At 33.9% G+C, this 23,163-nt stretch overlaps 1 protein-coding gene across 9 annotated transcripts in view; it reads right to left on the bottom strand.

Moving 5' to 3' along the window:
* DCAF8L2 (DDB1 and CUL4 associated factor 8 like 2) overlaps positions 1-23,163 on the bottom strand; it is a 281,002-nt gene that overhangs the window by 27,644 nt on the left and 230,195 nt on the right. For 6 of the 9 annotated variants that reach the window (XM_024452372.2, XM_024452371.2, XM_024452373.2 and 3 more), the window contains 2 exons: positions 9,650-9,741; positions 6,128-6,211 (listed from right to left, as the gene is read on the bottom strand). The exons of 1 other annotated variant lie outside the window; for it this stretch is intronic. The gene's annotated coding sequence lies outside the window, so the exon portion shown is untranslated. Of the gene's footprint in view, positions 1-6,127; positions 6,212-9,649; positions 9,742-10,527; positions 10,604-23,163 lie in introns of those variants that run through there. 2 more of the 9 variants (XM_024452376.2, NM_001353450.2) reach the window with 2 other exon arrangements.

Raw genomic sequence — 23,163 nt, 5'->3', positions numbered from 1 at the left:
GTAAGTCGAGATTCATCTGTACATAAATCATTTTAGTGAAGTATCTGTTGAATTCTATTTTATCAAGGTATTTTTATTTTGTTTTCTTTTAAAAAAGGACAGATTTGAATCCAGTAAAAATGTCTTTTCAACATTGTTAGAGATCAATCATAATAATTTGCATTAAATTGCATAAATGAGATGCCTCAATGAGAGATAAATGAAAATGTTCTGTGGTTTTCCTTTTTGTGCATTTTTCAGGTTATGGATAAAATGTCATTCATACTTGATGAAAATAATTTTAATATATTTCAGCTTTCTATGTACTCATGAATAGGTGAATTACCATCAGAATGATCTGTTCTTTATGGATTTGGTAGGATTTCATGTGAAACCATCTGAGCTTGGTGTTATTCACAGGGAGGAGGGCATTATTTTATTTACAAATTTCTCCAATTATCTAGGGAAATTATCTGTTTCAAATTTCTCTTCTGGTAATTATTCTTCTGTTGTATTTTTCTAGAAAATTATCCATTTAATTTAGATTTTTTACATAGGGCTGCATAAAATAGTTTGTGAGTGATTTTTTAAAATTATGAGTTACTTGATTGCCTCCTATTATTTCTTATTTTGTGTTTTAATGCTTTCTTTTTTCTTTCCTCTGTGAGCTAATCTACTTTATTATTTTAAACAATCTTATGTTTTCTTATTTTGCAGATTTTGTTTTCTAACTAATTTCTCTTGTCCATCAATTCATTTTCAATCTTTGTTTTATTCCATAGATTAGAATTAGGTTTGCTTTGTGTTTCAATCCTAAACTAAAAAATTATTAGGTGAATTATGTCCATTTGTATTTATTTAAATACGTTTAGTATTTTGTAGTTCTACGATATTCAGGACTTTAAAAATCCTTGTTCTATATATATTTATATGACATCCTTAGTCTTTTCTTTGTTTAAACATTATGTATCAGTACCTTATTATGAGCAACAGTGAAATTAATTAGCTTTTAACTTTTCCTTCTTTTTGTTCTCATGCACCATTTTCTTAAATTGGATTAGCTTTAAAGTATTTGCTGCCATTATATTCAACATTATACTGGAAGTATCAGACAGTGCAAAAGGATAAATGGAATGAATGGATAAATAAATGAAAGGCCTACAATTTGATTGAAAAATAAAAAAGCAAAGCCATCTTGATTTGCAGATAATCTAATTATGTATGTGGAAAACCCTTTAAAATCTGTAAGATAGTTATTACAATTAACAATCACACTTTTCAAGCTTACAATTTATAAGACCAATACAATACAAATACAAAGACCAATACAATATAAACAAATTAATCGTATTTCTATAAAATAAAAATATTTAAGAAATAAATTTTAAAACTCAAATTTTAATAAAGTAAAAAATAAACTATTTATAAATGCATTTAATAAAATATATGTAAGGTCTGAACACCAAATTACAAAACATGGGTAACATTAACTTAAAGAACACACACATAAATACATATAGTTTTCATAAATTAGAAGACTAAATTTTTTTGAAATGTCAGTTCTTCTCAAATTGATCTATAGATTTAATGGAGTCTTAGTCAAATTGATAGGTTGATTATAATAAATATATGAAAATAAAAATAATCGGCAGGGCGCGGTGGCTCACGCCTGAAATCCCAGCACTTTGGGAGGCCGAGGCGGGTGGGTCATGAGGTCAGGAGATCGAGACCATCCTGGCTAACAAGGTGAAACCCCGTCTCTACTAAAAATACAAAAAATTAGCCAGGCGCGGTGGCGGGCGCCTGTAGTCCCAGCTACTCGGGAGGCTGAGGCAGGAGAAAGGCGTGAACCCAGGAGGCAGAGCTTGCAGTGAGCCGAGATTGCGCCACTGCAGTCCGCAGTCCGGCCTAGGCGACAGAGCGAGACTCCGTCTCAAAAAAAAATAATAATAATAATAATCTACAATAGCTGAAATAGCTTTGAAAAAGAATAACTTTGGGGAACTTTTACTGTCTGATTCAAGACTCACTATAACGATAAAATAATTAATGCAGTGTAGTATAGGTGTAATAGACATTATCTAAACGAAACAAAGTCAAGATTCCAGAAATAGACCCACATATATATGGTGAAGTGGTTTTTGACATAGGTATTAAGGTATTCCAATAGGGGAAATATACATTTTTAAATAAATATTATTGGAACAATTGGATATCTGTATGGTTAAAAAAAAACCCTTGACTCAAAATCATATATAAAATTTAGCTTAAATGAATTATAGACCTATATGTAAGATAAAGATACAAAACCACTTGAAGAAAACACAGGAAAAAAATCTTTGTCATATTGACTTTGACAAAGTTTCTTAAGCAGGATATAAAAAAAGCATAATCCATAAAAGAAAAAAAAACACAAATAGACTTTTGTTCTTTTACAGACATGGTTTAGGAAACAAAATTGATTGCCATACACCGAATGGAAGAAAATATTTGTAAATCATAAATTTAACAAAGGCCATGTATCCAAAAAATATAAAGAACAAATTTAATTCACTATCAAGAAAATAAAATTTTTGACCTGGCACAGTGGCTCACGCCTGTTATCCCAGCACTTTGGGAGGCTGAGGTGTGCGGATCACTTGAGGTCAGAAGTTTGAGACCAGCCTGAGCAACATGTCAAAATCCCACCTCTACTAAAAATGCAAAACTTAGCCAGGCATGGCGACATGCACCTGTAGTCCCAGCTACTCAGGAGGCTGAGGCAGGAGAATCGCTTGAACCCAGGAGGCGGAGGTTTCAGTGAGCCAAGATCGCACTGCACTCCAGCCTGGGTGACAGCAAGACTCCGTCTCAAAAAAAAAAAAAAAAAAAATTAAATGGGTAAATGATTTTAAGAGGTACTTAACAAAAGTACCTCTTAAAATACACTTTCTTTATATATGTTTTATATTTTAACATATTTTCTTTAACAAAACGAAATAGATCTATGGCCAATTATCATAAGAAAAAGTGTTCTATGTCATTAACCATGAGGAAATTAAAATTAAAGCCACAATGATATATTCACTAGAATTGCTAAAATCTAAGAAATGGAAAACACTAGGTTTGGACAAAGATATGAAGCAACTGCATTTCTCATACATTGCTGGTGGGGATGCAAAATGTTGCAGCCATTTTGAAAAAAATTTGCCAATTAAATATCACTGTTATATGCACTTTTCATGACCCAGAAGTTCCACTCCTAGATGTTTGCCCAAGATAAATTAAAAAATAGGTCTACAGAAAGACTTTGTACTAGTCAAAATTCTTCAGAAAAACAGAAGCAATAGGATATATGTGGGTGTATATGCGTGCCTGTTTTATGTATACATATATAATATACATACATACACACACATACATATGTAATAAGGAATTGTCTGAGAAGCACCAAGACCTGCAGTTAGCAAGATAGAGGCCCAGAAGAGCCAATGGTGTTGTATTAGATTGAGTCTGAAGTCCGAAGAACCAGGAGAACCAAGATTTTAAATTCCATTTGGAAAGCCAGCAGGCTTGAGACCCAAGAATAACCAATGTTTCAGTCATGGTTTGAAAGCCAGAAAAGAGTAATGTTGCAGCTCAAGCAGTTAAGCAGGCAGTGTTCCCTCTTGTTCTCAGAAAGGCTGGCTGTTTTTTTTTCTACTTAGGCCTTCAGTTGATTGGATCAGGGCTCCCCCAACATTAGGGAAGGCAGTCTGCTTTACTCAGTCTACCGATTGAAATGTTAATCTCATCCAGAAACACTCTCACAGGCACACTCAGAATAATGTTTGACCAAGTAACTGGGCAGCCTGTGGCCAAGTCAAGTTGACACATAAAATTAACCATAATAGGCTTATACACAAACTAGAAGTAGGGGAAGTATCCTAAAAGTGGTGATTGAATAAACAAATTGTGCTATATTTATACTATGGAACAAAACGACCAAAATATTGATATACACAAAAACATGAATGAATCTCAAAAACATGATGCTATGTTAGAAAATGAAACATGAAAGACTGCATAGTACATGATTCCATTTGTATGAAATTCTAGAAAAGGCAAAACTATAGTGACAAAAAGCTGATCAGTGGTTACCTGGGATGGAGGATGAAAGGAGGAAATCTAATTCAAAGAGTCACTATGGAATTTTTGGATCTATATCATGTTTGTGGGAATGGCTACACAAATACATACAATCACCAAAACTCATAAAACTATACACTTAATATGTGTTGGTTTTATTTTATGTAAATTATTTCTCAAAAGTTAGGAAAAATGATGTTAATTATAACATTGTTAACAATAGTAAAATAGAATATTTTATAATAGAGAAATGACTAAGTTATGGCAATTCAACGGAATAAAAAATTATGCTCTCATGAAAATTATAGGATTGAAAATGCAATCAGAACTGTACATGGTTGGTAGACTATGCTTGTATGTACTTTAAAAATTTCACATTTCTCTAGAGACTGAAAGGAGAACATGGGTATTTTTAAATAGTTGTTCTAGGGAAATAAAACATTATATATCTTAACAAAAGCAAAAATTGACAAATGATATCTAATTAAAGAGCTTCTGCACAGCAAAAGAAACTATCATCAGAATGAACAGGCAACCTACAGAGTGGGAGAAAATCTTTGCAATCTGTCCACCTGACAAAGGTCTAATATCCAGAATCTGCAAGAAACTCAAACACATTTACAAGAAAAAAACAACCCCATTAAAAAGTGGGCAAAGGACATGAACAGACACTTCTCAAAAGAAGACATTCATGCAGCCAACAAACATATGAAAAAAAGCTCATCATCACTGATCATTAGAGAAATGTAAATCAAAACCACAATGAGATACCATCTCATGTCAGTTGGAATGGCCATTATTAAAAAGTCAAGAAACAACAGATGCTGGTGAGGTTGTGGAGCAGAAGGAAACTTTAACACTGTTGGTGGGAATGTAAATTAGTTCTGCCATTGTGGAAGACAGTGTGGTGATTCCTCAAAGAGCTAAAACCAGAAATACAATTTGACCCAGCTATCCCATTACTGGGTATATACCCAAAGGAATGTAAATCATTCTATTAAAGAGATACATGCACACATATGTTAACTACAGAACTATTCACAATAGCAAGGACACGGAATCAACCCAAATGCCCATCAATGAAAGACTGGATAAAGAAAATGTTGTACATATACACTACGGAATATTATGCAGGCATAAAAAGGAACGAGATCATGTCCTTTGCAGGGACATGGATGAAGCTGGAAGCCATTATCCTCAGCAAACTAATGCAGGAACAGAAAACCAAGCACCACATGTTCTCACTTGTAAGTGTGAGCTGAACAATGAGAACACGTGGACACAGGGAGGAGAACAACACACACTGCAGCCTGTCGGGGGTGGGGTGCGGGGAGAGAGTATTAGAAAGGATGGCTAATGCATGCTGGGCTTAATACCTAGGTGATGGGTTGATAGATGCAGTAAACCACTATGACATACCTTTACCTATGTAACAAACATTCACATCCTGCACATGTCCCCCAGAACTAAAAATAAAAAAAGAATAACTGTAATCCTAAAGCAAAATAAAATACTTGGATATCACAAGTTTTACAGCTCAGAAATACATACAGTCTCAGTTTCCCCTGTTTTTAAAATTGAATGACACATTTCCTATGGGAGCTGATGAGAAGGCTTGGAAAGCCAGTGATATAGTGACAGTGGCACATTAAACTCTTACAAAAGTGAAGATTTTATAAATATGAGCAAGTTGTAAACATAAAGAAAAGGTTGTTTGCTTTATTTCTGATTATTGTTGTGTCATTTTATGACAAGATTTCTTTTTGTGCTTTTCAATTGCTTTGTATTTTTCATGACCTATTATAGTTAATGGGAAAATGTATCTGACACAAACTAATATTCAAGTACTTTTATTAGGTACACTATTATTTGTAATGCCTTCACAGTTTTACATTTTAGTTAGATTCTTCCTGTGCCTAAATCATTCTCTGTTAATGACTTAGGCACTGGAGGCACATTAAAGCTTTTTAACCACTAAGCAATCACAGGTCTTCTAGGAAATTGCTGCTGCCATGCATAATTTGCTACCCATGCCACTCACCTGTGTCAGTAGCAATTAGAGATTTCCCCACTGATTCCACACCGTCCTGAAAGAGTTAATGGACCTCTGCAACAGTGCAGCTTCCTAACAGGATAAAATAAATTGTTTTAGTGCAAGTCTAATCAGATTTCTTAATAAGGATAATAAACAAACCAAGTCATTGGATTTTAGTTTGTCCAATACTGATGAAGGGAGAACATAACAAATTTAAGTTTAAGGTTATGCAATGTGTAGTTCAAACATATTTGACAATAATAATGTTAAAAGCTCTGAGATAGAAAAGCAAAAATATTTATATCCATTCTGAAGAAAGGACTATCATTAATTTAGCATTAGTCATCTCTGAAAGTCTTATGTACTTGTAGTTAAAGTTATTGAGGCAGAAATGACCTGGGAGCATGAATACTTAGTTTTTATTATGACATAGCTTGACGCAGTGATGCCCCCAAGCTCTTTTCCTGGGCCACTTTATTTTGCATCAATAACTTCCCCTCATGCATTATTTATTTAGTTTTTATTTAACTGACACTTATTGTGCTAGGTACTGTTCTACGTTTTTGACAAATATTAAAACATTACTTCTTATAATAACCCTATGAAGTGGGTATTACTGATTTCTATTTTACAGATGAGAAGGCAGAGATCCTGAGGTATAAGTAACTTTCTCCAACTTGTAAGCCTGGATCCTAAATCTGTGCTCTTAACCATTGAGTTAAAGTGTCATGACGTTTATTAGTTTTTCCAAATTCCACCACAGATTTCAAGAATAGATCTAGTCTCAGTTCCTTTTTTTTTTTTTTTTTTTGAGACGGAGTCTCGCTCTGTCGCCCAGGTTGGAGTGCAGTGGCGCGATCTTGGCTCACTGCAAGCTCCGCCTCCCGGGTTCACGCCATTCTCCTGCCTCAGCCTCCTGCCACCAACCCAGCTAATTTTTTGTATTTTTAGTAGAGACGGGGTTTCACTGTGTTAGCCAGGATGGTCTCGATCTCCTGACCTCGTGATCTGTCCACCTTGGCCTCCCAAAGTGCTGGGATTACAGGCATGAGCCACCGTGCCCGGCCTACTCTCAGTTACCTTTGACTCCCATTTCCACTCAAATATTATTTTCCCTACAAATTATTGTACACTGTATCTTGTGAAGGGAAAAATATTAGTGTCATAGTAAAACCATTTTAAGTCCTCAACACACAGGTGAGAAGCTATTTTCTGAAAATTATGTCTGAACCCAGAACTACTTGTCTTTAACTAAAAAAATAAAAATAAAAAATAAAAAAATCCATGTGGTTTCTACTTTAAACATGTTTTATAAGGTGGCTGCAGGGTTCTTACTCAAAAGACTGAGGCAATATGGCCTCAAACCTGATAGAATCCAGGGCACTGACATTTGCAATTACTTCAAATTTTGGAAGAGTAGGGAAAATGGGGAGGCTAGAAAGACCTGTCAATATATTCAATCTCAGAAAACATGATTTTCTCAAATATCTGTATGCTTGTTGCTATTACTTTTGCAATCACTGTAGTTTACAGCACCTTCTGTAATGTAATGTTGGCTGCCATAGAAGTAATCCACCAAAATAGAATACCTTCTAAATCTTAGTGGTGTTAAAATGTAGTCATTTTATACAATGGGAATAAACATTTCTCTACTAAACTAAGCATATTTAGAGAAAAGTTTTTGAAGTTAAAAAATGGCTGGGAAAGAAATTGCTAAGAACATTTCTTTGCCTTATTATGACAAACAGGAAAAAGATGTTTTAGGTGCACTTTTAGAACAGTCTCAAGTAAAAAAAAAAACTCACAATGAATTACCATACATTTAGAATCTGGTTTGGTAAAATTAAAGGTTAACAATAATTCTAACCCCTTGATTTCTTAGACTGCTCTATCGTTTTAGGTGTTTAATGAATGAGAAGCAGAATTAGTGTTATTTGAGAAACCATTAAAAATCATTTTGCATTTTCCTCTCTTTTTTTCTATTATAAAATGATTCTGTTACTGTAAGCAGAGCATGGAATAGGGGTAGGCAAAGCTGAAGATGTTTATCAGGGATGGGTAGGATAATTAAGATCAAGTGGATGATTTAACATTTCCTAACATGGAAAAATAGAAGAAATCTAAAGGAGAGTTGTATATGCTTCTACACCACCATCTACCATTCTACCTATATAAGGGTCATACTTCACCCTAAATTCTATTAAAATGGATGAACTTTCTTTTTTGATCAACTGATAATCTCTATACTTGTATATTGGATCCTCTCAAGGCTTGCCTACTCAAGAATTTAATTTCTGATATTACCCTCTTTTCTCTTAATATCAGTGGCCAGCAAACTAAGGCCCACAACCCAACCCTGCCTTTCATCTGTTAGTAAATCAAGTTTCATTGGAACACAGCCATGCCCATTAATTTACATGTTACCTATGGTTGCAGTTATGACAGAGATCATATGGCTGACAAAGTTTATAATATTTAATATCTGTCCCTTTAGAGAAAACGTTTGCCAACTGATGTCCTACATCTTCAATTTTCTTTTCCCTTGGTTAGATAATTTCTGCCAGCAAATAAACAATGTATAATGTTACTTCTAACATTAATACCTTTTTTACTCCAATTTTCTCCTTCAATTACTGCCCCATTACTCTGTTCCCCTTTACAGAAAATCTCCTCAAAAGGTTTGTGTATGTCCTAGGTATTTCTGCCTCTTATTACCTATTTTTTTCTTGAATCTCCTGAAGAGTTTCTTTCAACTACTTCATACACACTGCTCTTTTAAGGTAATCAATAATGTACATTAATCCAATTTTACCAGCCAATTTTCAGTCCTCATCTTATTTCATTCATTAGCAACATTTGGCATTATTCTAATCCAATTTTCTTGAAGCATTTATTTGATTCTCCTCATACCTTCCAAGTCCATTATTTTATTCTCAGTCTTTTTTCCTTGTTTCTTCTTATTTTCCTGGCTCCTAAAGCTGTGAAATGTCTCCTTTCAGTCCTCAGACTTTGTTCTTCTTTACATAAAATTATTCCCTTCATAGTTTAATCCAGTATAATTCACTTAGATGCCATACATTCTATACACTGGTGATTGCCAAAATTCTCTTTCCAACTCAGACCTCTTCCTCAAATTCTGTACACTGGTCTGCCTCAGCATATCTACTTGGATCATAAATAGGGATTTCACTGTTAATTAATTCAAGACAGACTCCTTACACATATTTTCTGATGGGTCCACTTTACTGAGGCTCATGCCTTTGCTCAATCCCAAGTGAATACAGTCTATCTCTATAGAAACAGACAATTATCTATTTTAAAGCTTCCACTAGTGGTTTCTGCTTCCATTTTGGAGAAGCAAGCGCCTAACATATTGATCCTCCCACAAATATGAGCTATAAACATTAGACAAAAATAAACAAATAAACCCAAATACCTGGGGCTCTAGAAACTGTACAAATACAAACATTTTTAGAAGGGACCAAGTGACCAGCACTGTGCGAATACCCTGTATTTTTACAGTTTTACCTGAGAGTAGCTGCAGTCACAGAAGCATGGAAGCGGCTAAAACTCTGATGGTAAACTAGAAATGTTTCTGGTAGTCAAGTGAACACAGAACCCTGGAAGGAAAATAATCAAAGAAGAGAAACCCTAAATTTTGTGTTTAAACTCACTTCAACCTGTGAAACATGCATATGTAGGGAAAACTGGAAACAGCTTTCAACAACTGAAATTTGAGCCACTGACCCCTTCAGTTAGGATATTTTGCAGTTTGGGTCTAACTATTTTAACTACTTACTGGAAGAGAAACAAATTGGTACTGTTCAGAGCAATATAACATAATTCAGAGTGTCTACAACATGAAATTCCTAGTGGCCATGACACGATTTGAAATTATGTGACATACAAAGAACCAGGAAACTTAGACCCCACTTCAAAGGAAAAGACAGTCAACAGATGCCAATTCTGAGATGACTCAAATGACAGAAATATGTTAATTGGATTAAATACTCCAAAATAAAATAATGCCAAAATCCGGTTCTTGGAAAATATCAACAAAATTCACAACCCCTAGCTATATTAATAATAAAAAATGATAGAAAGAAAATCCCAATATCTTGAAGGAAATAATGAATATTACTGCAGATCCTATATCTATTAAAAGGATAATAAAGGAACATCATGTACAACTTTATGCAAACAAATTCTAAAACCTAGATGAACAGAGAAGTCCCTTGAAAGATTCAAGCTACCAAAACTCACTCAAGAAGAAATAAATAACCTGAATAGTGCTAGATATATTAAATAAATTGAATTCATAGTTAGCTAACTTCCCCCCAAAACCCTCCATGTTTCTGGTGGCTTCTTTGTTGAAATCTAGTGAACATTTGAGAAATTATACCAACCTCAGACTCCTTAAGAAAATTCAATGGAGGGAACACTTTTCACCTCATTTTATGAGGCCAGCATTACTCTAATACTAAAATCACAAAATGATATTATAAAAAACTGCAGATCAATATTCCTTTTTAATTATTTTCTTTAATTTTTATTCATTGAAATCAATTTTATTGTGTATATTTGAGGCTTAGAACATGATGTTATGGGATATAAATAGTAAAGTGGTTGCTATAGTGAAGCAAATTAGCATATCCATCATCTCACATAGTTACTTTTGTGTGACAAGAGGAATGTATATATATACACATATAAGCACTTCTAAAGAACAAAGTCAAATATATATATATATAATACACACACACACACACACACACACACGTACACACACACACACACACATATAGATGTAGGAAAATTATTCACCCATAAAAAAGAAGAAAATTCTGCTCTTTGCCACAACAGAGAAAGACCTGAAAGACATTATATTAAGTGAAATGCGCCAGACACAGAAAGAAAAATATTGCATGGTCTCTTATATGTTGCATGGTCCAAATGTTACTGAATCTAAGTCCACCATATATAAAATAATAATACAACCTGACTAAGGAGGGTAATTTATCTACAGAATTCCAGTTTTGTTTAATACTGAAGTAATCAGTTAATGTAATTAGCAAACCATATTAAGAGAACAAAAGGAAAAATAATTTTGTCTTTTCAAATTATTTTCAATTTTTATATTTTTAATTTTTGTGGGTACATAGTAGGTGTATATTTTGTCATTTTACGAGATGCAGAAAAATCGTTTTACAAAATCAAATAGCCATTCATGATAAAAATATTCATCAAACTAGTAATAGAAGACAACTTCCTCAATTAGATAACGGGCATCTACAAACAATGAAAATCCTACAGCTAACATCATACTTAATGGTGAAAGAGTAAATCTTTTCTTCTAATGTCAGAAACAAGACAATGTCCCCTTTCAACACTTCTCTTAAACTTTGTGTTGGAGGCCCTAGCCATAGCAATGAAGGAAGGAAAAAAATGAAAGTGATAAAATGTTAAAGGAAGAAGTAAAACTATATACACATGCAGGTGAAATAATTGTTAAAATAGGAGAATGCTGAGGAATCTGCATATAACTTCTAGAAAAAATAAGTGACTTTATCATGGTCAGAGACTAGATTAATATACAAAAATGAATAAAATATTAGTTTGTATTTACAATAGTACCTCAAATCATCAAGTACTTATGATTAAATTTAACAAAAGACACGAAAGACAGAAGAATTGAGACTAGAGAACACTGACAAACAGATTAGAGAATATTTAAATAAATTAAGAAAAATACTCTAATTCTGGATTGGATGACTAAAATAGATAATATACAAGTTACACCCAAATTTATCTATATATTCAACACAAAACCAACCAAAATTTCAGAAGTTTTAAAAATTTATAGAAATTGGAAAATTGATTTTAGGATGTATATGGGAATTGAAAAGACCAAGAATGCCTGCCCAAAGCACTTTTAAACTGAGGAACAAAGTCAAAGGACTTACACTACTTGATTTGAAGAGTTACTCTAATGGTGCAATATGACATTGGGCTGCAGGATAGGCACATAGTCAATGAAACAGTACAATGTACAGAAAATGGATAGAAAATCACTGGGAAAAGAATCTTCAACTACGTTTGAACAACTGAACATCTATGTGGAAAATAATTGAGCATAGGCCCTTAATGCAAACCATATACAAAAATTAACTCAAAATACATTTCATAGAAATGTGAAAGCTAAAAATAAAAAAAACCTAGAAAAAGTAGGGCATATTATTTGCAACGATTTATTAGATAGGACACACAAAAAGCATAATCATAAAGCAAAAAAAAATAATTGGGCATTTCCCACATTTAATCTTTTGCTTTTTGAAAGACATTGTTAAAAAAAAAAATGAACATGCCAGCCACAGAAACAGTCCATGAACATGCCAGCCACAGAAACAGTCCACAGACAAGGACTGGTGAAGAGACAAGATTTTGGCCCCCATGATCTTTAACCCCTTTAGCCCATGGTGTTACTTCTGTGATTTTTATGTTACATGGCAAAAGAGACTTTGTAGATGGAATTAAGATTTGCTAATCAGCTGACAATAGAATTGAGTGGTTATTCTAGATTATCCAAGTAGGCCTAACGTAATCACATAAGCATTTAAGAGTGGAAAGGGAAGGAAGAAAAGTCAGTCAGAGAGATACAGTGTGAGAAGAACCCCATCACGGTTGCTAATATTTTATTGTTTGTGGTGTAGTTTAAAATCAACTGGTTCCTTGCCTTATTTTTCAGATAGACCTTGAATCAACTGTAAAGAAGTTCAATTTTTTATCTCTCACTATGCACTAATCAACAAAATAAGTTAATATAATGTTATAAAAAAAGTGTTACAACAAAATGTACGGAAAATACAAACACAAATGAAAGTCTTTAAGGTCCAGTGAAGAGAACTAGCCCAGAATCTAATAGAGTGGAAAGGTACCAACTTAAGAAGCAGGTGGAACTGGTCGGGCGCGGTGGCTCACGCCTGTAATCCCAGCACTTGGGAGGCTGAGGCAGGTGGATCACCTGAGGTCAGGAGTTCAAGACCAGCCTGACCAACATGGAGAAACCCTGTCTCTACTAAAAAAATACCAAATTAGCCGGGCGTGGTGGCACATGCCTGTAATCCCAGCTATTCGGGAGGCTGAGGCAGGAGAATTGCTTGAACCTGGGAGGCCGAGGTTGTGGTGAGCCGAGATCACGCCATTGCACTACTCCAGCCTGTGCAACAAGAGTGAAACTCTGTAAAAAAAGAAAAAAGAAAAGCAGGTGGAACTAGAACTATGAGAAACTCAACTGAGCTAGTGAAGAAAAGAAAATGAAACACTAGAGGCATTTTCCAGTAATGGAAGAGTAAATGGGTAGTAGAAAGAAATGCTACTTGAGATTGGGAATATTAAATAGCAGAGATAGCAGTGTTTTGAGGAGAAGGGGAAGATACTGGTCCTCAATAGATCGGTAGGGGTTTAACCTGAAAATTCTTCTGTAGCAATGCCTTTGGCATCTACTAAATATCAGTCTATGTAGACTGAAACAAATGGGTAGACAATAGTACAAATATTCCTTGAAACATCCTTGAAAGAAGATTGCATATATATAAACCATTATAAAACCAGAGACAGTAGATATAGCTAAGATAATACAAGATTGAAAATACATCTTATGAGAGTTGAGTGTAGCACTATGTGACAGAAAGGCGAAACTCCCATCCAAGAACTAACCAGGCATGACTCTGCTTAGCTTCTGATATCAGACACATTCAGAGTGGTATGGGTATAGATGTCAATGGTGGACTGGATAAAGACAACGTGGTATATATACACCATAGAATACTATGCAGCCATTAAGAAGAATGAAATCATGTCCTTTGCAGCAACATAGATGCAGCTGGAGGCCATTATCCTAAGCAAATTAATGCAGGAAACAATAGCGCATGTTCTCATTTGTAAGTGAGAGCTAAATACTGAGCACATATGGACATAAAGATGGGAACAATAGACACTGGTAACTATTAGAGAGGGAAGGGAGGCAAGGGTTGAAAAACTAACTATTGGGTACTATGCTCAGTGCATGAGTGAGGGGAATCAATTGTACCCTAAACCTCAGCATCACTCAATATATCCAGGTAAAAAACTTTCACATGTACATCACAAAACTAAAATAAAAGTAGAATATTTTAAATAAAGTAAAATAAAATAAGAAATGTGAAACAGAGAAAACACATACTAAAAGATTTTGAAATTGGTGGATAGGAAAGAAAAGCACCTCTAATAAGATGCCATTTTTATTTACCCTAACTTCCATAATCACAAAATTCTACTTTGTCAAAAAAGCCACAGTGTTTCAAATAACACTCTCAGTAACTAATGTATCTATAGTTTTATTTTCCCTCCAGATATTATAACCCCCTAGTGCAAATATTAACATATTATGGGAACACAAAGCCCAATTTAATCCTAAACTCATAGACCACGGATTCCAAGCAACAGTAATAGGCTGATTAGCATCCTAGTGAAATGAAAGCCAAGATGATTTCCATATATGCTCCTTTCCCTAGATATTACCGAGTCTTCATTCTGGGTTGCAACACTCGATTCTAGTTTACAGAACTATAATTTAGCTTCAAATTACTTTTTTGGTATTTTTCCATCATTATATTTGAAATTTTTCAAACATATAGAAATGCCATATCCATATAATCACCACCTAAATGTTATGATTGTTAAGATTTTGCTGTTTGCTTCATCATATATCTGTGTCTCTAGCCATCTACCCATTTATCCAATTATCAATCCACAATATCTTTGATCAATTTCAAAGTCAGTTTCAGATATCAGGAAACTTCATCCCTAAAAACTACAATATGCACATTATTTATTTTTAAACAGGATGATTGAGATATTAACATTCAATAAAAATCATCCATTGAAATTATACAAATCAATAGTTTTTAGTATATTCACAGAGTTGTGCAGCCATCACCACAATCTAATTTTAGGACATTTTGCCACCCGAGAAAGAAACCCCATGCTCATTGGTAGTCACTTCCCATTTCCCCCCATTCACCTAGCCTTAGGCAACCACTTTCTGGCTCTACTCACTTGCCTATTCTAAACATTTTATGTAAATGAAACCATACAATATGTGTTCTTCCGTGACTGGCTTATTTCATTAGCATAATGTTTTCAAGGTCCATTCATATTGTAGCATGTATCAGTACTTCATTCCCTATTTTTGCTGAAAAGCATTCCATTTTATGATATACCACATCTTATTTATCCATTCATCAGTTGATGGATATTTGGGTTGTTTCCACATTTTGGATATTATGAGTAATGTTGCTATAAACATTCATGTACAGGTTTTTGTGTTGGCATATGTTTCCATTTTTCTTGGATACATAAATAAGGGTGGAATTGCTGGGTCATATGGAACTCTATGTTTAACTTTTTGAGGAACTGCCAAACTGTTTTCCAAAGCAGCTGTACCACTTCACAAACCCATCAGCAATGTATGAGGTTTCCAATTTCTCCACGTCCTTGCCAACACTTTTCATTGTGCCTTTTTAAATTTATAGCCATCCTAGTGGGTGTGAAGTAGCATCTCATTGTAGTTTGATTTGCATTTCCTTAATGACTAATGATGTTGAGCATCTTTTCATGTGTCTATTGCCTATTTATATATCTTCTATTGAGAAATGTCTATTTAATTCCCTTTCCCAGTTTTTAGTTGGTCTTTCTTTAGAGGAAGAATCAATAATGTTAAAATAGCCATACTGCCCCAAACAATTTACAGATTCAATGCTATTCCTTTCAAACTACCAAAGAAATTCTTCACAAAATTAGAAAAAAAAAGTATTTTAAAATTCCTATGGAATGAAAAAAGGAGCCCAAATAGCCCAGGCAATACTATGCCAAAAATAATAATAATAATCATAAAGAAACTGGAGGCATCACGTTATCCAACTTCAAACTATACTACTGGGATACAGTAACCAAAACAGCGCGGCACTGGTACAAAAAACAGGCAAATAGACCAATGGAACAGAATAGAGAGCCAAGAAATAAGGCTGCACACCTACAAGCATCTGGTCTTTGACAAAGCTGACAAAAACAAGCAATAGGGAAACGAGGGTCACCTATTCAATAAATGGTGCTGGGATAGCTGGCTAGCCATATACAGAAGACTGAATCTGAACCCCTTCCTTATACCACATACAAAAAATCAACTCAAGAAGGACTAGAGACTTAAATGTAAAACCTAAATCTGTGAAAACTCTGGAAAATGCCTAGGCAACCTAGGCATTCTGGACATAGAAACTAGCAAATATTTCATGACAAAGATGGCAAAAACAATCGCAACAAAAACAACAATTGACAAATAGAATCTAATTAAACTAAAGGGCTTCTGCACAGCAAAATAAACTAGCAACAGAGTAAACAGGCAACCTACAGAATGGGAGAAAATATTTGCAAACTATGCATTTGATAAAAGTCAACTATCCAGCATCTATAAGGGACTTAAGTAAATTTACAAGAAAAAACAACCCCATTAAAAAGTGGGCAAAGGACATAAACACACTTTTCAAAAGAAGACATTCATGCAGCCAACAAGCATATGAAAAAAAGCTCAGCATCACTGATCATTAAAGCAATGCAAATCAAAACCACAATAAGATACAAGTTTGCATTCAGTAGGATGGCTATAATGAAAAAGAATGAGAATAGTAAGTGTTTACAGGGATGTGCAAAAACTGAAACCTTCATATTTTGCTTGTGGAAATGTAAAATGGTCCAGTCACTTTGGAAAACAGTTCTTCAAAAAGCTAGTCATGGAGTTACCATATGATCCTGTAATTTTACTCCTAGTTATATACCTAAGAAATGAAACATATTTCTATACAAAAACTTGTATAGAAATGTTTATTGCAGCACTAGTCACAATATCAAAGACATGGTATCAACCTAAATGCCCATAAATGGTAGATTGGATAAAGAGAATTGGTATATATACACCATGGAATAGTATGCAGCCTTGAAAAAGAATGAGATCATCTCCTTTGCAGGAACGTGGAGGGAGCTGGAGGCCATTTTCTTTTGAAAACTAACACAAGAACCAAAAAACAAATATTGCATTTATAAATGGAAGCCAAAATGATGAGAACACATGAACACTAGGAGGGAAAGAAGAGACACTAGGGCCTATTTGAGGATGGAGGGGAAGAGGGAGAGGATCAGAAAGAATTCTTATTGGGTACCATGCTTATTACCTGGGTGACAATCTGTACACCAAATCTTTGTGACATGCAGTTTCCCTATATAACAAACATGCATATCTACCCCTGAACCTGAAATAAAAAAATTAAAAAATTTCATGTCTTAATTTTTGAAATTTATTTTATTGCATATATTTAAGGTGTTTAACATGATGTGTTGCTACACACATACATAATGAAATCATTACTACAAACTAACAAATTAACACATTCATCATCTTCTATAGTCACTTTTTTAGGTAAGAGCACCTAAAATCTACTTTCTTGGAAAATTTTCAGTATACAATAAAATACTCAACTATAATCCTTATGCTGTACATTAAATCTCCAGACTTATTTATCTTACATAAAGGAGTGTACGCTTAGACATGCTTCTTCCCATTTCCTCCCCCTCTTCATACCTGGCAATCACAATTCTACTCTAATTCTATTTATTTGACCGTTCAACAAAATTCCACATTTAGGTGAGATAATACACTATGTTTCTTTCTGTGTATGGCATATTTTATTTAGAATAATATTCTCCAGGCTCACACATATTGTCACAAATGGTAGTATCTCCTTTATGAGGCTGGATAATATTCCATTGTGTATATATATACACACACATATATATGTATATATATATGTACATATATACGTATATATACGTACATACGTATGTGCGCACGTGTGTACACGCACATGTGCGCGCGTGTGTACATGTGTATATACATATGTGTGTGTGTATATGTATATATATATATATATATACTGCAGCACTATTCACAATAACCAAGATATGGTAATAGCCTAAGTGTCCATCAATTGATGATGTGTATCTTGATTTATACATATATATATATACACACACAATGTGTTATCTTTACATTATGGAGTCATAAGAGTTCTTTATGCTGATCCAAGTCCCTTATCACTATATGATTTGCTAATATTTTTTCTCATTGTGCGAATTTTCTTTTCACTTCCTTTATGGTGATCTTTGGGTGCAAATATTTTTAATTTTGATGAAGTTCAATTTATTTTTCCTTTATTGCTTAGATATGTACTTTTGGTGTCATATCTAAGAAAACATTGCCTATTTTTCTAAATACAATACAAATAAATATAAAGATTTATTCCTATGTTTTATTTTAAGGCTGTTATTGTTTTAACTGTTAAATTTATGTGTATGATGCATTTTGAATTATTTTCATGTGTGTGCATGGTGTGAGTTCAGGGTCCAACTTCATTCTTTTGCATGTGGATATCCAGTTCTCCCAGCACCATTTGTTGAAAATAACATTATTTGTCTATTGAATTGTCATGGCGCTCTTTTCAAAAATCAACTGACCGTGATTGATTTTCAAAAATCAATTGACCAAAAATAAATTGACCATAAAGTAAGGGTTTATTTCTGAGCTCTCAGTTCTATTCAATTAATTATCATGTCTAACCTTATGCCAGAACTTTACTGTCTTGGGTACTTTAGCATTGTAGTAAGTTTTGAAATTGGGAAATAGTGTCCTTTGTCTTTGTTCATCTTTATCAAGATTGTTTGGGGTATTCTGAGTCCCTTATATTTCCATATAAATTTAGGATCGGTTTGCCAATATCTGCAAAAATGCCAGCTGCGATTTTGATAGAGATTGTAGATTAATTGGGAAACATTGCTATCTTAAGAATATTAAATCTTTCGTTCTGTCAACATGGGATGTGTTTTCATTTATTTAAATCTTTCATTTCTGTCGAACTGTTTTGCAATATTCTGTGTACAATTCTTGTACTTCTTTTGTTAAATTTATTCCTAAGAATTATATGATTTTGATTTATTGTAAATGTAATTGTTTTCTTAATTACATTTTCAGATTGTTCATTGTTATTATATAAGAATACAATTGATATTTGTGTATTGGTTTTGTATCCTTCAGCCTTGCTGAACTTGTCTATTAGTTCCTATAGTTTTCGAGTGGATTCCTTAGGTTTCCTGTACACAAGGTCAGGTCATCTGAAAATAGAAAGAGTTTTACTTCCTTTTTAATATGAAATATTTTTATCTATTTTTCTTACCTAATTTCCCTGGCTAGAACTTCCAATACAGCGTTTAAGTGGCAAGAGCAGACATTCTTGTCTTGTTCCTTATCTTAGGGAGAGAACATTTAATTTTTGACTATTAAATGTGATGTTAGTTATGGATTTTTATTAGATGCTTTTTATTAATTTGAAGCAGTTATCTTTTATTACTAGCTTGTTAAGATGCTTTATCATGAAATGTTGTTGAATTTTGTGAAATGTTTATTCTGTATCTATTAAGATGATTATGTGTTTTTTGCTATTTTTACCTATTAATATGATATATTAAATCAATTGCTTCTTAGATGATAAACCAAACTTGCATTCTTGGGGCAAAACTTTTTCAGTGATGATGTGAAGTTATTTTTTTATGCTCTATATTCAGTTGTCTAGTTTTTTTTTTTGAGGATTTTGGATCTATATTCATAAGGAATATGGTTTGTAGGTTTTTTTTGTTGGTATCTTTGTCTGGTATTTGTATCGGGGTAATACTGGACTCAAAGAATGATTTGGGACCTGCTCCATCTTCTATTTTTTTTTTCAAAGAATTTGTGAGGGAATTGGTATTAATCTTCTTTCATTGTTTGGTAGAATTTACAGTGGAGCCACTGGACCTGGGAATGTTTTGTGTATTAGTGGCAGAGGAGTTAATTACTAATTCAATCTCTTTACTTTTTATGTCTACTCAGATTTTCTATTTCTACTTGAGTCAGTTTCAGTCATTTATTGAAAGCTGTCTATTTCATCAAAGTCATCTAATTTGTGGCATGCAGTTATTCACATTATTTTCTTAAAATTATTTTCTCGTATCTAAGGTCGGTAGTGGTATATTCTCTTTCATTCCAGATATTAATAGAAGACAAGTCTTCTCTTTTCTTGATAAATGTAGCTAAAAGTTTGTCAGTTTCTTTTTCTCATTTCAAAGCACCAACTTTTGGTTTCATTGATTTTCTTTGCTTTTTTTTCTCTAATCTCTGCTTCATTTATGTTCACTCCAATCTTTATTATTTTGAGTCTCTTGCTTTATCTGGATTTAGTTTGCTCTTATTTTTCTAGTTTCTCAATGTGGAAGTTTATGTTACCGATTTGAGAGTTTCTTCTTATTTAATAAAGGCATTGCAGCTATAAATTAAGCACTACTTATAGCTTTTCTTTGGACACAAGTTTTGGTATGTTTTTCCTTTTTTTACCTAAAAGTATTTTCTAATTTCCCTTGTAATTTGTCCTTTAACTTATTGGTTATTTAGAAGTATACTGCTTAATTTCCACATGTTTATTGATTTCTCATATTTCCTTCTGTAATTTATATCTAATTTAATTCTTTTTTAGTAAGAGATCATATATTTTATTAATTTCAGTCCTTTCACGTTTATTGAGGCTTGTTTTATAGATTGGCATATGTTTTATCCTTCAGTGTATGCTTGAGAAGAATGTATTCTGCTTTTGTTGGGTGGAGTGTTCTCCAGATGTCTGTTAGGTCTAGTCACTTTACAGTATTGCTAAAGTCTTACATATTCCTGTTCTTTTAACTTGTTCTATCCACTATCAAACTGTTTGGATTACTTTTCTCTCTAAAATTTGTAGCACTGGATACAATGCCATGATAATCTTCCCTGTTCCTTTACTTTAATTCATTGTTTCTTTGGACTCTTTAAAAATTAAAGCATGTTAGGATCTTGGTGTTGAATTAATAAAAACTCTGCCCTGAATTATACTCATCTCAGTAAGAAACATCCCATAATGAAGCTTCCAAATGAATTTTAGTTTGGAACTATCATGAAGAAGCCTCCTGAATGAGATTTTTGCAGGATGAGAAATTGAGAATATAAATTATGGATTTTAATTTCTTTTAAATTCTTCCTCATGAGAGGAAGGTGATTTTATTTGTGGGGTTTATTCAGGACTTTAACTTACAAGGAATTTTAATCTGTGGACTCTAATTTCTTCCCAAGAATTTTATATGGGAGTGATGTGATTTTTATTTAAGTTTAGGGTGGCTTTATATTGACATTTTATTATTAGAGTATTTTAATATTGTCATTTTATTCTGTTGCAGAACGTTTGGCAATGTGGCTAGAAATAATGTGCAGTGAAAAAAGAAAAATAGTGAGTGAATGTTGGTCTTGGCTACAAAGTAGACTTAGAACATAATAAACGTAATATTCAGTTCCACTTCAGGGGTTTCAGGTGGCAAAATTCGTATTTCCCAGTAATTCCCCTGGAAGGATAACCAAAGAAGCAGTGATCGCTATGCAAGAAATAGTCTCATAAAAGTGAGAATCAATTTTCACTTTTGTTTGAATCAAAAGAATCAATCAATTCTAACAGGAGAATGCAAAACTGTTGCTTGACTATAAGTCAATGGTTTTCCCCAATGGTAAATAAAGCAAAGAGAAAAAAAATATTAAGGGCAAAGGTTCTTCCCTACTCCTTATATATCCTTTCCCCTCCTATGAGGATGGATTTTTTTTTTTCCTTAACACTTATGACCCATTTCCAGATGTGTTAATACTCCTCAACACATAAAATGCTTTAATTTTCATTCCTCCTTTTTCAGTTAGTTTCATCTATCCTGTCAAAGTTACAGCACTCAGGAGAACTGGTCCGTTCTCCAACTTGGGAGTGAAAGGCAAAGATTTAGATACATTGGTCTGAAGGCACAATCTTTCATTGGATGGGTTGATCCAAGGTTTAGACTAGGGGCCAGGAAACTATCAGTCCATTTTGACTCTTATGGTAGGCTACATGCTCCAGCCTAGATTTTATCAGTATAAAATAAATATAGGTAATATTTTGGCCCCATGTTCCCTTTTCTTTTCTTTTCTTTTTTGGACAGTCTGTCACCCAGGCTGGAGTGCAGTGATGCAATCATAGCTCATCTCGATGTTGAACTCCTAGGCTCAAGCCATCCTTCTCCCTCAGCCTCCCAAGTAGCTAGGACTACAGGTGCACACCACCATGCCCAGCTATTTTTTGTTTTATTTTTATTTTTGTAGAGATGGAATATCCCTATGTTGCCCAGGCTGGTCTCCATCTCCTGGCCTCAAGCAATCCTTCTACTTTGGCCTCCCAAACAGTGGGATTACAGTTGTGAATCATACACCCTGCCTATATTTTGGCCCTTATCTGCTTAACCTTTTCATTTATTTCCCAGTGGTCTCAGAACCTGAGCATGGAAGCAGGTGCTATTTAATGGATTACCTTAACACTTCAGAAACTCACTACTTTGATGCTACCACTTCGCTTGAGACATCATCGTCTCTGGCCTGGGTAATTGCAATAACCTCACAATCAGTTGTTCTCTATCCACATTTGCTCCTCTATAGACCCACTTTTTGCCATGGAAACCAAGTCATATCATTCTGTCAGTGCTCAAAACTTTACAGAGATTTATTTTTCTTAGAGTGATAGTCATATTCCTTAAAAATGCCTATAAGGCCTTTCCTCTCTCCTGAGTCATCTCTTACTTTTCCCTCCCTTGCTGACTGTATTATGCCCACTTTAATATCACTGTTATACTTCGAATGAGACAACAACATTTCTGTCTAAGGCATTTGCCCTTTTTGTGCTGTCTTCCTGGAACATTACTTTTCTGCAAATATCCACGTGGTCCCTCACATCCATGAATTCTTTTCTAAATTATCCCCTTAACATGGGAGGCTTTTATAAAGACACTATGGAGTATAACATCTTTTTCCACCCCCAGCACTATCTTTACAC

The sequence above is a fragment of the Homo sapiens genome, chromosome X (genome assembly GCF_000001405.40).
Source record: "Homo sapiens chromosome X, GRCh38.p14 Primary Assembly".
NCBI lineage: Eukaryota > Metazoa > Chordata > Mammalia > Primates > Hominidae > Homo > Homo sapiens.
Note: the sequence above shows the minus strand (reverse complement) of the source record. Positions and strands in the feature narration are given on the sequence as shown.